Raw genomic sequence first — 15,397 nt, 5'->3', positions numbered from 1 at the left:
CCTTCTGTGGTCTCCCTCTTGATAACCCCACCTAAGATCAGTGTAAGGCATTGCCGTTCTCCCAGGGCCGGACTCCTGGGGGTTTGGGGTATGCACTTCATCTGCTCACCTTTGAGCCAGAGACCATATGTGGGATTTTTCCTCATGGGTGCAATATGTGGTAAAAAATAATATACATGTCCTGCCAAGTGAGGTAGAGGGAAGCAATAGTCCTGTAAATTCCTTCATGAAATGAGGAGGGCCCCTACTGAAAGAGCCAAAGCTTAGTTTTTATTTGGGAAAGATCAGACATTAGGAAGGGAACATGGACTCTGATGGTTCCTAGATCCCCATTTGCCACGTCCTGGAGCAGCAGAACTTTTTCTGAGGCCAAAATGAGATCATAGGTGGCCTCTGACCTAGTATGAGAAGGGGAGTAGAATCCCTGATAAGGAGGAGGCACTGGAAAACAACATCAAAGGTTGGGATGTTGAGGGGAAGGTGAGAGAGAGGGAGCAGATGGAGTAGGTGTAATTGAATGTGAAGGTGGTTTGTTAGGGGAAGAAGGTGTGGCCTCAACCCATCCAGCTAGTTGGGGAGAATGGGAGAGAGTAAAAGAAAGGCCATCCAAAATGTCAAAAGAGCCAGTGGGGCCAGAGAATATAGTCATGCACATTCAGCAGATTTGGTGGAGATCAGGATCCCGAGAGAGTGAGTTATGAAAGCCTGGAATAGGAACTTCAGACCATTTAAAAGAGTTGCAACAGAAAAGGTCAAGCTGTAAAATAGTACTGGGGCAAGGGTCCCACCTGGTGGCCGGGAGGATTCCTGATCTGAAAGTTTATAAGGTGGCCATGTTGTATTACACAAGAAAATTAAACTTTGTTTTTGAGAGTCTGAGGGTCAGATTTATCCATTATTTTAGGATGCAACCCAGAGATAAGTCTGAAGGAATAGACGGGGTTTGTCCCATGATGGGACTGGAAAACAACAAGCTGTTTGGGGCTAATAAAATAATAGTACCTACCTTGTAGAAATGTTGTGAAGACTAAGATAATAAAAAGAAATCGTTTAAAACAGTGCATAGTTTATAATAAACACTTAGTCAATGTTAATTATAATAATTATTATCACCCCTTTATCAAACTTTCAAATCAGGTCTTCAACAAGCTGGTCACAGGACAGGAGATTTAAGATGTGAATCCAAGCTGTCTGGGTTCTTGTATAACTGGATAACAACTCATCATGAAGTGCTACTAGTTTTAGATTAAAGATGTAAATTGTGAGCTTTTTTCCTTCTACTTCCTACTAGTCTGTTTGCCGGGCTAATATAGAACAAACTTGAATAAACAAATCGCAAATATTCAAGGGAACTTGAATATATCATCTAGATGGACAACTTGTTTTCTTTGAAGACAGATGCAAATGGTTGTGTTTTTTAAGTTGTAAACTCAAAAGCTATAAAATTATATACTGGTTTAATTAGTCTTGTTTAATTAGCCATTATCTGACCAATGTTACAACTCCATCTTTTTTTTTCCTCAACATCTATTTTTTTGTTTGTTTTTTAAAGACTGCCTTTTTTTCCCACCCCCTAGAGCAGGGCTGTTTCTGGAGTTTTTAGCTCTAGCTGGTAGCACAGCCTTAGGTGGGATAGGTTAATAGCAGGTGTTTGCTGAATAAGTAATATACTCATACAAAGAGTCATATTTTCTGCTGTTCTAGAAATGTCTTCAAGAGAATATGCTTTCACTAAATACAATAAAATTTCACAGTGTACTTCAAGGAACTGCTCTGTGTTGTGATGGTGGGTGGGTGTGAGATGGGATAGGGGAGGAAGGGATAAAATGTGATTGAGAATACTCTCTCAGACATGAGTATAAGAGGATAATAGAATTGAATCTGATTTTGTTCATTTTTGTTGTTGTTTTGTTTGAAAGGTCCTGCTCTCCTTAAAATCAAAATTTGATGGTATACTGGGCTGGCCAAGCCTGAATGCCTGCCATGGCAAAACCTCCATTTAAGGGAAACTATCTTGCCCTTAGCCCTTGCTATAAGGGTAGTCCCTTTTTGTATTTAGCTATAACCCCTGGCTATGGCTGAGTAGACCCTGGAAAACTGAATCAAAGAATAGTGAATTGTGGCCTGGTACAAAAAGATGAGCTGGCCTAATCAAATTTTTCCCTGGAAAATTAAAAACTGTAAAATGTAGAGAGATGGAGGCAGTTAACAATGGGGGCAAAAATTGAAACAATGTATTAGAAAATGTAGTGAGATAAACAGGATAAGATGTGGTACCATGTGTTATAGGGGAGCAAAAATATGAGAAATCAGAAAAAGCCATTTAATAGTGAAATGGAAAGAATCAGATATTTGGCATTAAGCTGTGTAATTAATAAGGAACACAAAGGAAGATTGACTGCCTGTTTGATTGATTCATTTGTTTATTCAACAAATTAATTTTTTAGTTACTAGTATGTACCAGGCAGTGTTTTAGCCCGAGTATTGCTCTGAGAAAGAATTAAGCCAGTGATTCTCAACCACTTGTGATTTTGCCTACCAGAGGATATTTGGCCATGTCTAGAGACATTCTGGTTGTCACAGCTGGGAAAGGGAGGTGGTATTGGTTTTTAGTGAGTAGAGAGAGACCAGGGATGCTGCAAACTATTCTACAATGCACAGGATAACTCCCTACAAAAAAAGAATTATCTTGCTCAAAATGTCAGTAGTTCTCAGGTTTAGAAACTCTGGGATAAACCATCATTAGGATATATTTCGTGGAATAATTGTTGTCTTGTAGTTGACATTTGACTTTCTGTGTTTTCAGAATTAAGGAAGTTCACTGGAGTAAAATGGAGGCCTCAGTAATATTACCCATTCTGAAGAAAAAACTAGCCTTCCTTTCAGGTATGATTTCTTCTTAAAATTTGAAGTGTTTGATATACAAACTTTTTAATAGTTTCTTCTTTGTTAAGTATGACAGATGCATTTTTTTTTAATGAAAGTTTTGTTTAAAAGGTATTTCTAAGACATCTTTAAATCAGAATGAAGAGCTAGGAGAGCTAACTCTGTACTGGTTCTTGGCAGGCCAATTTATTTTTCTAATTTCATTTTTTTAGATTCAGGGGGTACATGTGCCTGTCTGTTGCATGGGTATATTACATGATACTAAGGTTTGGGGTATAATTGATTCTCCTCACCCAGGTAGTGACCATAATACCCAGTAGGTAGTTTTTCAGCCCTTTTCCCCTTCTCTCCCTCCCCTGCAGTAGTCTCCAGTGTCTGTTGCTCCCATCTTTATGTCCATGTGTGCCCAATGTTTGGCTCCCTCTTACAAATGAGAATGTGCAATATTTGGTTTTCTGTTTCTGTGTCAATATTCACCTAGGATGATGGCCTCTGGCTGCATCCATGTTGTGGCAAAGGGCATGATTTCCCTGTTTTTTTACAGCTGCATAGTACTCTATGATGTATATGTACCACGTTTTCTTTATCCATTCCACTGTTGATGGGCACCTAAGTTGATTCTGTGTCTTTGCTATTATAAATAGTGCTGCAAGGAACGTATGAATGCATGTGTCTTTTTGATAGAGCAATTTATTTTCCGTTGGATATATACACAGTAATGGGATTGCTGGATTGAATGGTAGCAATCCCATTACTGGGTATATACCCAAAGGAAAATACATTGTTTTGTAGATTCTTTGTTTTAAGTTCTCTGAGAAGTCTCCAAACTGCTTTCTCCAGTTACTGAACTAATTTACATGACCACCAACAGTGTATACGCATTTCCTTTTCTCTGCAGCTTCACCAGCATCTGTTATTTTTTTGACTTTTTAATAATAGACATTCTGACTAGTATGAGATGATATTTCATTGTCAATTTGATTGCATTCCTGTGATTATCTGTGATGTGCATGCTTGTTGGCCACTTGTGTGTCTTCTTTTGAGAAATGTCTGTTCATGTCCTTTGCCCACTTTTTAATGGGGTTATTTGTTTTTTCCTTGTTGAATTGATTAAGTTCATTATGGATTCTTGGTATTAGGCCTTTGTTGGAGGCATAGTTTGTGAATATTTTCTCCCATTTTGTAGGTTGTCTGTTTATTGATAGTTTCTTTTGTTGTGCAGAAGCTCTTTAGTTTAATTACGTCCTACTTTTCAATTTTTGTGTTAGTTGCAGTTACTTTTGAGGACTTAGTCATAATTTTTTTTCTGAGGCCGATACTCAGAATTGTATTTCCTAGGTTTTCTTCTAGGATTTTTATAGTTTTAGGCCTTAGGTTTAAGTCTTTAATTCATCTTGAGTTAATTTTTGTATATGGTGAAAGGTATGGTTCAGTTTCATTCTTCTGCATATGGCTAGCAAGTTATCCTAGCATCATTTATTAAATAGGTAGTTCTTTCCCCATTGCGTGTTTTGTTGAAGATCAGAAGGCTATAGGTATGTGACCTTATTTCTGGAATCTCTATTCTGTTCCATTGGTCCATGTGTCTGTTTCTGTACTAGTACCATGCTGTTTTGTTTACTGCAGCCTTGTAGTGTAGTTTGAAGACAGGTAATGTAGTATCTCTGGATTTTTTCTTTTTGCTTAGAATTGCTGTAGCTAATTGGGCTTTTTTTTGTTTCCATATGAACTTTAGTTTTTTTCTATTCTGTGAAAATTGACATTGGTAGTTTGATATGAATAGCATTGAATTTGTAGATTGCTTTGGGCTGTATGGCCATTTTAACATTTTAAATATGACGATGGAATGTTTTTCCATTACTTTATGTCTTCTGTTATTTCTTTCAGCAGTGTTTTATAGCTCTCTTTGTAGGTATCTTTCACCTTTTTGCTTAGGTGTAGTTTTAGGTATTTTTTATGGCCATTATAAATGGGAATATGTTCTTTATTTTGGCTCTCAGTTTGAGTGTCATCGGTGTTTGGAAATGCAACTTATTTTTGTATATTGATTTTTTTACCCTGACATTTTACTAATGTAATTTATCAGTTCTAGAAGCCTTTTGGTGGAGGCTTTAGGGTTGTCTAGGTATAGAAACATAAAGTCAACGAAGAGCAATAATTTGACTCCTCCTTTTTCTAATTCTATGCCTTTTATTTCTTTTTCTTGCCTGATGGTTCTTGCTAGGACTTTTAGTACTATGTTGAATACAAGTGGTGAGAGTGGCTATCCTTGTTTTTTTCCAGTTCTTAAGGGGAATACTTTTAGCATTTGCCTGTTCAGCATAATGTTGGCTGTGGGTTTGTCTATAGATAGCTTTTATTATTTTGAGATGTATTTCTTCAATGCATAGTTTATTGAGGGTTTTTATCATGAAAGGATGTTGGATTTTATCAAAGGCTTTTTCTGCATCTATTGAGATGATCATATGGTTTTTAATTCTGTTTATGTGGTGACTCACATTTATTGATTTGTGCATGTTGAACTGATCTTGCATCCCAGGAATAAAGCCTAATTGAATGTGGAGGATTAACTTTTTGGTTTGCTGTGAGATTCCGTTTGCTAGTATTTTGTTGAGGATATTTGCATCTCTGTTCATCAGGGATATTGGCCTTTAGTTTGCTTTTTTTGTTGTTGTGACCTCACTAGGTTTTGGTGTCAGGATGATGCTGGCTTTACAGAAGAGGGAATCCCTCCTCTTTAATTTTTTGGAATAATTTCAGTAGGATTGGTACTAGCTCTTCTCTGTATGTCTGGTAGAATTTGGCTGTGAATCCATCTAGTCCAGGGCTTTTTTTGATTGGTAGATTTTTTTAAATTACCAATTCAGTTTTAGAACTCAATATTGGGCTGTTGAGGGCTTCAGTTTCTTTATGATTCAACCTTGGGAGGGTCTGTGTTTCTAGGAAGTTATCCATTTCTCTAGAGTTTCTAGTTAGTGTGCACAGAAGTCTTTTGTATTTCTGTAGGATCAGTTGTAATGTCACCTTGTCATTTCTAATTGTCCTTATTTGGATCTCCTCTCTTTTTTTTCTTTCTTAGTCTAGCTAGTGGTCTGTTGATCTTGTGTATCATTTGGTGTTGTCAGCCCCCCACCCCTTTTTTTGAGACAGGATCTCACTTTGTCACTCAGTCTAGGGTGGAGATCAGTAGTACAAACAAGGCTGGCTGCAGCTTTGACCTCCTGAGCTTAAGCGATCCTCCAGCCTCAGCCCTGACAATTAGCTGAGACTACAGGTGTGTACCACCATACTCAGCCAATTTTTGTATTTTTTGTAAAGATGGGGTTTTGCTGTGTTGCACAGGCTGATCTCAAATTCATGAGCTCAAGTGACTCGCTCACTTTGATACGTTGTATCACTGTTTTCATTTATCTCAAAACAATTTTTTGATTTCTGCCTTAATTTTGTTTACACAACATTCATTCAAATGCAAGCTGTTTAATTTTCATGTAATTGTGTGGTTTTGAGAGATCTTCTTGGTATTGATTTCTATTTCTGTTACACTGTGATCTGAGAGTATGGTTGGTATGATTTCAAGTTTTTTTTATTTATCAAGACTTGCATTATGGCTGAGCCTGTGGTTGGTCTTAGAGTATGTTTCATATGCAGATGAGAAGAATGTATATTCTGTGGTTGATGGGTAGACTGTTCTGTAGATGTCTATTAGGTCCAGTTGGTCAAGTGTCAAATTTAAGTTCAGAATATGTTTGTTTTCTCCCCGATGATCTGTCTAACTCTATCGGTGGAGTGTTGAAATCCCCTGCTATTATTGTGTGGCTGTCTAATTCATCTTGTAGGTCCAGAATTACTTTTTTTATGAATCTGGGTACTTCAATGTTGGGTGCATGTGTATATATTTAGAATGATTAAGTATTCATGTTGAATTGAACCCTTTATTATTATGTAATGCTCTTCTTTGTCCTATTTTATTATTGTTGGTTTAAAGTCTGTTTTTTCTGATATGAGAATAGTGATCCCTGCTCTTTTTTTGTTTTGTATATGTGTAATAGGTCTTTCCCCAACCCTTTTCTTTGAACCTGTCATTGTCATTACATGTGAGATGGGTCTCTTGAAGACAGAAGATGGATGGGTCTTGTTTTTTGTTTGTTTGTTTGAGACAGGATCTCGTTCTGCCACCCAGGCTGGAGTGCAGTGGTGCGATCATAGCTCACTGTAGCCTTGACCTCCTGGGCCCAAGCAGTCCTCCCACCTCAGCCTTTCGACTAGCTGGGACCACAGGCATGTGCCATCATGCCCAGCTAATTTTCTCATTTTTAATTTTTTTGTAGAGACAGGTGTCCTTATATATTGCCCAGGCTAGTTTCAAACTCCTGGGCTCAAGTGATCCTTCTACCTCAGTCTCCCAAATTGCTGAGATTATAGGCATGAGCTACTGTGCTTGGCCAAATCTTTTTTTTGGATCCATCTTGCCATTTGGTGTCTTTTAAGTGGGGTGTTAGACCTTTTACATTCAAGGCTAATATTGATATGTGAGGTTATAATCCTATTTTGAAGTTGTTACCTGGTTGCTTTGTAGTCTCAATTGCGTAGTTGCTTTATAGGGTCTGTGGGCTATGTAATTAAATGTGTTTTTGTAGTAGCAGGTGTTCTTTTGTTACCATATTTAGAACTCCCTTAAGGATCTCTTTGGTCTAGTGGTAATGAATTCCCTTTGGAATTACTTGTATGGAAAAGATTTTATTTCTCCTTCACTTATAAAGCTTAGTTTGGTGGGATGTGAAATTCTTGGTTGGAAATCTTTTTCTTTAAGAATGCTGAAAATAAGCCTCCAGTCTCTTTTGGCTTATAATGTTTCTCCTGAGAAGTCCACTGTTAGCCTGACAGGGTTCCCATTGTGTGTGATCTGACTCTTCTCTAGCCTCCTTTAAGATTTTTGATGCTCTACACATTTGGAGAAAGCTCTCTAGGAATGAACTGTAAAAATAATCCCTGAATGGCATGAACCTGGGAGGCAGAGCTTGCAGTGAGCCAAGATCGCGCCACTGCACTCCAGCCTGGGCGACAGAGCAAGACTCCGTCTCAAAAAAAAAAAAAAAAAAAAATTCCCTGAAAATACAGTCTTCTGATACTTATCCTGTTCTGTAATTTCATTAAAATGACCTCTACAAGGTAGATGTCATGATGTCTCACTTCTGATATGAAAATGTAATAATAATTGACTAACTGGCATCCAAATAATTGTTTCTGAAATACAGAATAATTAGTTTTTATGATAACTGTCTTCTAGCTTTTTTCTTCCATCTTCCTCTGAGAAAGTTTCAGTACACTGGAGGAGTTAATATCCATTATTCTGTTTTCACTCTTTGCTGTTCAAAACTGTTTATATACACTTGAATTTATCTTCAGTTATCAACTTGAAGTGTGTATCAGCTAAGATGAGTCAAGGGGAAGCTATGAGTGGGAGCATGTATGTATGGTACATTGGGTGTAGTGATCTTCTGGAGTTTAGATCGTTGAGTAAATCTCTACATGATTTAGTATAGATACTGTAGCTCTGCCAACTCAGAGTTATTTGGACTGCATTATCTTGCTTTCTCTATTATTCTTTTTTATGTCCTGTCCTAATTGCCTTGATAATACTAATGTCCTTTTTTCAAAGTATGTTATGTCTCTGTATAATTGACATGTTTTCCTAGTATGTATTATATTATATATTGTATATAATATACTATATTGTATATGCTATATTATATACTGTATGTAATATACTATATTGTATATGCTGTATTATATATTGTATATAATATACTATATTGTATATGCTATATTATATATTGTATATAATATAATATATTGTATATGCTATATTATATATTGTATATAATATACTATATTGTATATGCTATATTATATATTGTATATAACATACTATATTGTACATGCTATATTATATATTATATATAATATACTATATTGTATATGCTATATTATATATTGTATACTATATTGTATATGCTATATTATATATTGTATATAATATACTATATTATATTATATATAATATGCTATATTATATATTGTATATAATATACTATATTATATATAATATGCTATATTATATATTGTATATGCTATATTGTATATAATATGCTATATTATATATTGTATAATAGTGTTATATATGTATATAATATACAATATATAATATAGTATATTATATACATATATAACATATGTACATATCATATATTACATATATACAATATATAATATACAATATACGATATAATATATATTGTATATATGATAAGTAATATATAGTATATCATATACTATATATTACTATTATACAATATAGAATATACTATATTATATACATTACATATACTATATATACAATATGTAATATATATTGAATTTATAATACTATATTAATACAATGTATAATATTAATATATGCTATATTATATATTATACTCTGATATGAATGATGATTTTGTAAATATTCTTATTCATAGCTTTGTGCAGTTTTTTCTCTTCTATACCTGGAAAGCTTTGTCTATTTTGTACAAGTTCAGCAGTATGCATTTTTATGAGTAGAAGTGGTATAAGGATAATATGCATTTATATTTGTGTTAGGTTTTGTCAGATTGCCCTCCAAGAAGATTGTTTCAATTCCTATTTTTTCCAATGGTGTGTGAAAATGCCTGTGTTCTCACACTCTTTTCAATAGTAGACACTATTATTCTCTTATAATCTTTACCATGACATTTTTGCATCTTGTGATGCTTGTCTCTGTGTAGCATTTGATGCTTTTGACCATAACTATCTTGAAAGTCTTTTTCCTGTTGGCTTTCACCCCTCTGGTACTTTTACACTGGTGATTATTTTATTGTCCCTGAATGAAAGCTGAGGGAATGGATTTAAATATAGCCCTGAATGTTAAATTTATCTTCTAAAGACAATTCTACAGTGAGTCAGAGTGCCATAGTCCAGGTGTGAGCCTTTTTTGGGGCTTGGCTTAATGGGTGGATAAAGCTTAGCAATTTTGAGGAGTAAATGAAAGACTTCTTAGCCTGTTCCTATTAACGCCCTCTCTTGACCATTGATGATTTAAGCCAGTAATTTTCAAACTTTTTTAGTAATAGAGAAAATTTTTTCAAACCAACAGAGTCATTCAGGGGATGCAGTTTGAAAACCACTTGTGTTAATCCATTTTTTTTTTTTGAGAAATGACACATATTCTGAACAAAAAATAGGCAATTGAAGTCGTATTGATTGATTACTAAGTTGAATCACCTTAGATGATAATTTGTTGACATTAAACAAAGTGGTTGGATGGCAGTAATCGTTGACCTAATGGAGGACAGAGGTTCATTTATGGTTCATATGTTATGAATTGCATTTGTGTCACTAATATGAGTCTTTTTCTTCACACCTTTCAGTTTTTAGTGATAGATGTCTAGCGATCATGTGGAATTGTTTCTTTCAGTATTTGCTGCTTTTTAAGCCTCTCAAATTACCTCAAATGTCAGTTTGGTCAGAAGATGGGCTTCAGTATGAAATTCAAACATGTAGGAAACTTCCAAAGACATGATGTGGGCATAAAAGTATTTAAAAGTTACATTATACTTTTGGCACACTGAAAGGGACTTGAACGTACATGGAATGTAACTGTATTCTACTACCGGGATTTCAGACTTCAATATCCAGTTCCCATGTACCCTTCTCAGCTGGGCAGGGTTTTATCTTTATTGTCTTATGAACAGTATATGCCTGTCTGACCTTTGTGAGTTAACTCAGATCATTCCTCATCACAGAATACTCTTTTGACTTGGTTTACAAATTCTACCCGTTTTCCTTTCCCTCCCTCCCTCCCTACCTCCCTTCCTCGTTTCCTCCCTTCCTTCCTTCCTCTCTGTCTCTCTTCCTCTCTCTCTCTCTCTCTCTCTCCTTTCTTTTCTTTTCTTTCTTTCCATGCAATCTTGCTATGTTGCCCCGGCCAGTACTGGACTCCTGGATTCAAGTGATACTCTCGCCCTCAGCCTCCTGAGTAGCTGGGATATGAGACTACAGACACGCCAATACCCCCAGCTCTGTTTTTCTCAAGTCTTAACTTTTCAGTGAAACTTTTCACATTTACTGCAGCTCTTAATCATTTTCTAAATCCCTTTTTATAATTTTATATATCTTATAGAACATAACAAACTATCATATTTCTTATCTCCTAAATATTTTCTTCCTAGGTTGATTGGAAATTTATTTTATTTTACTTGCAAATACTTACTGTGCTGGGCACGTGAGAGGTGTTTGATGAATTGATTACATTAAGGACAGTAAATGGAAGAAATTTAAATAAAGTGATATTTGCTATGTTTGGGTGAAGATTTCATGGGTGAATTTTTTTCCTTTTTTCTAAATTTTCTGTAATTCTTCTATACTATCATAAAAATTTACAATCTATAAGTAGCCATTAGATATTTTCCAAATTATATCTTAAACTTATCATTATTTTAGTAAGATTGGATTCAAATGTATATTATTCAGATTATGCCTTAATATGTATTACATGTTAAATTTAAATCTCTTTTTTAATAGGAGGAAAAGACAGACGGAGTGGCCTCATTTTGACAATTCCATTATGCCTCGAACAGACAAATATGGATGAGCTGAGTGTCACCTTAGACTACCTACTCAGCATTCCAAGGTGACTCTAAAGGTGTCTTTTCTTAAATCTCAGTATGTTTTCATTCAGTTACTAATGATTCTTTCTATTGTTGAATTATACTTTGCTATCTTATCTGCTTTTATTCGCAGTGAAATTATAATTATAGATACTAAAATCAATGACTTATAACATCATTGCAGATAAAATGCTTATTTTATGCTCTTGATGAATTTAAGGATATACAGATTTCCAAAATGTATGTATTGTCGACTTTTAAGGAACCCAGTAACTAAGCATCTATATCATGTAACTTTAGGAAAATTGGAGAATTTAATCAGTAGAAAACATCTTTTATTTAGGTAAGCTATTTCACCATATTGATATAAATACGTCTGCAGGTTTTAATGTATTAAGTGAGTGAAGTCTATTAGGAGTTTATAAATATTTTTATTTTAAAAAATGTCAAAAATGTTTGTTTATATTTTAATCTAAAGGGCCTTTAACTTTAATTTTCACATTTCTTCAGTGAAGACCCAACTTAACCCTCTTTATTTGTCCTAGTCTACCCATGACTTCAACAAAAAAAAATAAAGCTTCCTCCCCATCTGCTTCTCCCATAATTGGGACTGAGGCACAACTGTGACTGCGTATTAGTCATCTGGAGATTTTTTTCAAAATTCTAATGATGGAGGGTTCACTTCCAGAGATTCTGATCCAATTGTTCTTGGGAAGCCTGCTTATCAGAATTTTTAAAAAGTCTTTTAAGCTTCCTGTGTATTTCTAATGTGCAACCAGATTTGTAAACCACTACAATTAAGCATGTAAATGAGGGCAGGTTTCTGTGTGTGTGTGTGTGTGTTTGTGTGTGTACAATGTAGAGGTAGAAAAAGGAACACGACTATCTCATATACTGCTCTTAAGTTCTAGCTAGTGAATTTTAAACATTTTCATCAGAGTAAACAATTCTTTGTATGTTTTTCCTGTATTTGCATTTTATTGACACAATAGCTTTTTTCCATTTAAACCACCTTGCAGAGTATGGGGTTAAAACAACTGATTTTAATCGCACCTGCATCCAATAGTGTTCTATAATTTAATGATTCTGTTGCTGTTTTTTTTTTTTTTTTAATATTGTGGAAACAGCGGTCTTCATGTGAAAATTTTCAATTTTTTCAGTTTCTGGGGGTGAAAATGATGAGAACCTGTAGTCAGTGCATTAGTATTAGCATTAGCTAATTGCATTAGCAGTAATCTTGCTAATCCCCCAAGCTGTGGATTGCTAACTTGTTCATCATTAGATAACAAACTGCTTTTTAGGTAACCATGGTTAGCCAGACTTATAGCTTACAAATTATGAAAAAAATATTCATAGATGGATTCATAGAAGGTTAAATATGTCAAGTGCCATCTGAGCCAAGTGCCTTATTTTGTAGTTGAGGAAATTGAAACTCTGAGGTTATGGTTACTTGCCCAAGATCTCACACCTAGTGAGTCGCACAGCTGGGATGAGAGTCCATGATTCCTGACACCAATTTAGAGCCTTTTTGTACTTCAGATGAGTAGAATTCAGTGTAGTTGCATCTCATGTGAAGTCCAATTCTGAGGTTCAAATGAAAAGCAAAAACTCCTAATTGTCAAAGTTACTCTTGAAAAATGCCTGAGGGTGGATCAGAGACTGTATTATCTTTCCATGAACATGTTAGGTTTTCCTTCAGCATTGGAGCAAGTTATTCACACTGAATTCCAGAAGACATAGTTGGCTTGTGATTAGGTTTGTTTTAAGAAAATGCATGTTTGTGTATACTGGAATCACATTCAGTTCAACAGGATGCTCACCTGTCCGAGGCACTGGGTAACTGAGGGAGGCTAAAGGACCAGCAGATTCATTCACATCTCTGGGCTCATGTTCACTCTGGCGTGGATAAGCAGGAAGTACAGTGGAAGGCAAAATAGCCTATACTATTTAAATTTTTTCTTTCTCTTTCTCATGTAAATGTGCATATGATGTTCCTCCAGTGTAAATGATGAATCAGTTTCTGCATATCTACACGTACCTGCCAACTAGCAGAGAAGGTGTAAGTTGAAGCAAGATGAAAGAACTCATTCTAGCAAGGCAAAATAGATACCTGGATACTTTATTTCTTATGATTGTTTTGCTAAAGTTTGGCCTTCTCAAATATTCATGAAAACTCTATCCTTCTGCTTTCTTGGATCAGCCTCCCATAATTTTGGGATTAACAAACATGGCTGTCAGCTTTTTATCCGTACTTGCCATTTCCTTAGAGAGCTAAGGTGTTTTTGATCTCTCCATTGCGATGCTAGAGAGCAGTTAACTAGATGTGTGATCTTAAAACCAATGTTTTTCATTCAGAATTTCCACCACTCAGGAGTGCTTTTAAAACGTAACCCCCCAACATTTTATTAAAATGTTCATATATGCAGGAAAGTTGAAGGAATTATACGGTGACACCCATATGTCCACCACTTAGAAAATCTAAAACTAATAATGTACTTTGTTTTTATCACGTTATCTCCCATGTTTCACCCCTCTTTTTGTCCTTAGGAATGTTTTTAAGTTTACCCTAGCAGATCAGGCCCAGCATGTGTCTAGAAAGGTTTTTTCATTTCTGGTGTATCTACATTCTTTTGTGACCTGCTTTTGTCTCCCAGCTTCCAGCTGTTAATGTTTAACTCCTTCCAGCTGTGAACATCTGCCAACATCTCCAGCAGTGTAGCTAGCTAAGGTAGCCTCTTCCTAATAGGAGATGTCCAAAATTGTTTTTTTCATGCAATGACTATCTTAACGTTTTGAATATAATAATAGCTTTTCAAAATTCTTGCAAAAATAAAAAGAAATTACTCAATTTCTTATACTTTGTGCTTATTTTTAATGAACACAGGGACAAAGTGTGATACATAGCTATTTTAAGTGGGTAACCTAGCACAGTTGAGAATGGAAGCATTTCTTGACTCTTTTCTACACAGGTTGGCCCTAAGTTTGTTTTGTGTTTCAGATACTAAGTGTACAGTATTTTGGATATTCATGAGTGCTATGAAAACAAAGCATGAAAAGAGTCAGAGTGATAGAGTGGTGATACTTTACAAAATAAGAAGATATTTTACCAGAGATGATTGAAAGGAGAGGCAGACCCTACAGAATCTGATCAACGAGCATTGAAGACAGAGTGAGCAGGAAGTGCAAAGGCCCTGAGGCAGGAGCAGGTTTAACATGTTCTGGGAACATCAAGGAGGCTAGTGTGGCTGGAACAGTTTGAGAGAGGAGCACAGTGCTGGGAGGGGGATCAGAAGAGAGTCAGGAGTCAGGTCATGGAAGACCATGTAGGCAATGGCTTCCATTCTGAATGAGATGGAAAGCTATTGTCGTGTCTGAGGAGTGATGTGATGTGTGTCATCTAACATTATTAAAGGCACTCCATATTTAAAGCATGGTGCTAGAAGCTGCCAGGACATTTGTAAGATAACATTCTTGCTTTCTGGAAGCATATTATCTAATGAAGATGAATTGTAAACAAGTAATTATAATAAAAGCATAAGTGAAATTAGTGCCATTATGTAAGTACCAGCAGAGCTGTATGAGTGGAAGAGAAGGAGCCTTTAGTTGTAATCAAAGAAATGAGTGAAGATCTGCAGGATGTTGGCCCCAGGAAATCCACTAACATTGTCTTCTGTGTCAAAAGTGAGTGGACTGTTTAGACAGTTTCACGTTTACATAGCTGTTTTAACTCAGCTATGTCACCCTTGAAAGGCTCAACTGGACTAGGAACTAGGAGGCTGGGTCTTAGATTTTTTTTTCTATTACTGTTCTTAAAGTATAGTTATAAA

The 15,397-nt window shown here is 35.5% G+C and overlaps 1 protein-coding gene across 6 annotated transcripts in view; it reads left to right on the top strand.

Annotated features, from left to right (window-relative positions):
- SESTD1 (SEC14 and spectrin domain containing 1) overlaps positions 1 to 15,397 on the top strand; it is a 163,155-nt gene that overhangs the window by 70,160 nt on the left and 77,598 nt on the right. For 4 of the 6 annotated variants that reach the window (XR_007084411.1, NM_178123.5, XM_047446274.1 and 1 more), the window contains exons 2-3: positions 2,807 to 2,886; positions 11,485 to 11,593. Coding sequence is in view for 3 of the 6 variants with exons in the window: in XM_047446274.1 (XP_047302230.1) it covers positions 2,807 to 2,886; positions 11,485 to 11,593 (189 nt within the window). In the remaining 3 variants the exon portion in view is untranslated. Of the gene's footprint in view, positions 1 to 2,806; positions 2,887 to 11,484; positions 11,606 to 15,397 lie in introns of those variants that run through there. The other 2 variants (XM_011512141.3, XM_047446275.1) reach the window with 2 other exon arrangements.

The sequence above is a fragment of the Homo sapiens genome, chromosome 2 (assembly GCF_000001405.40).
Source record: "Homo sapiens chromosome 2, GRCh38.p14 Primary Assembly".
Lineage (NCBI taxonomy): Eukaryota > Metazoa > Chordata > Mammalia > Primates > Hominidae > Homo > Homo sapiens.
The sequence above is the reverse complement of the archived record's forward strand: the minus strand, read 5'-3'. Positions and strand labels throughout refer to the sequence as shown.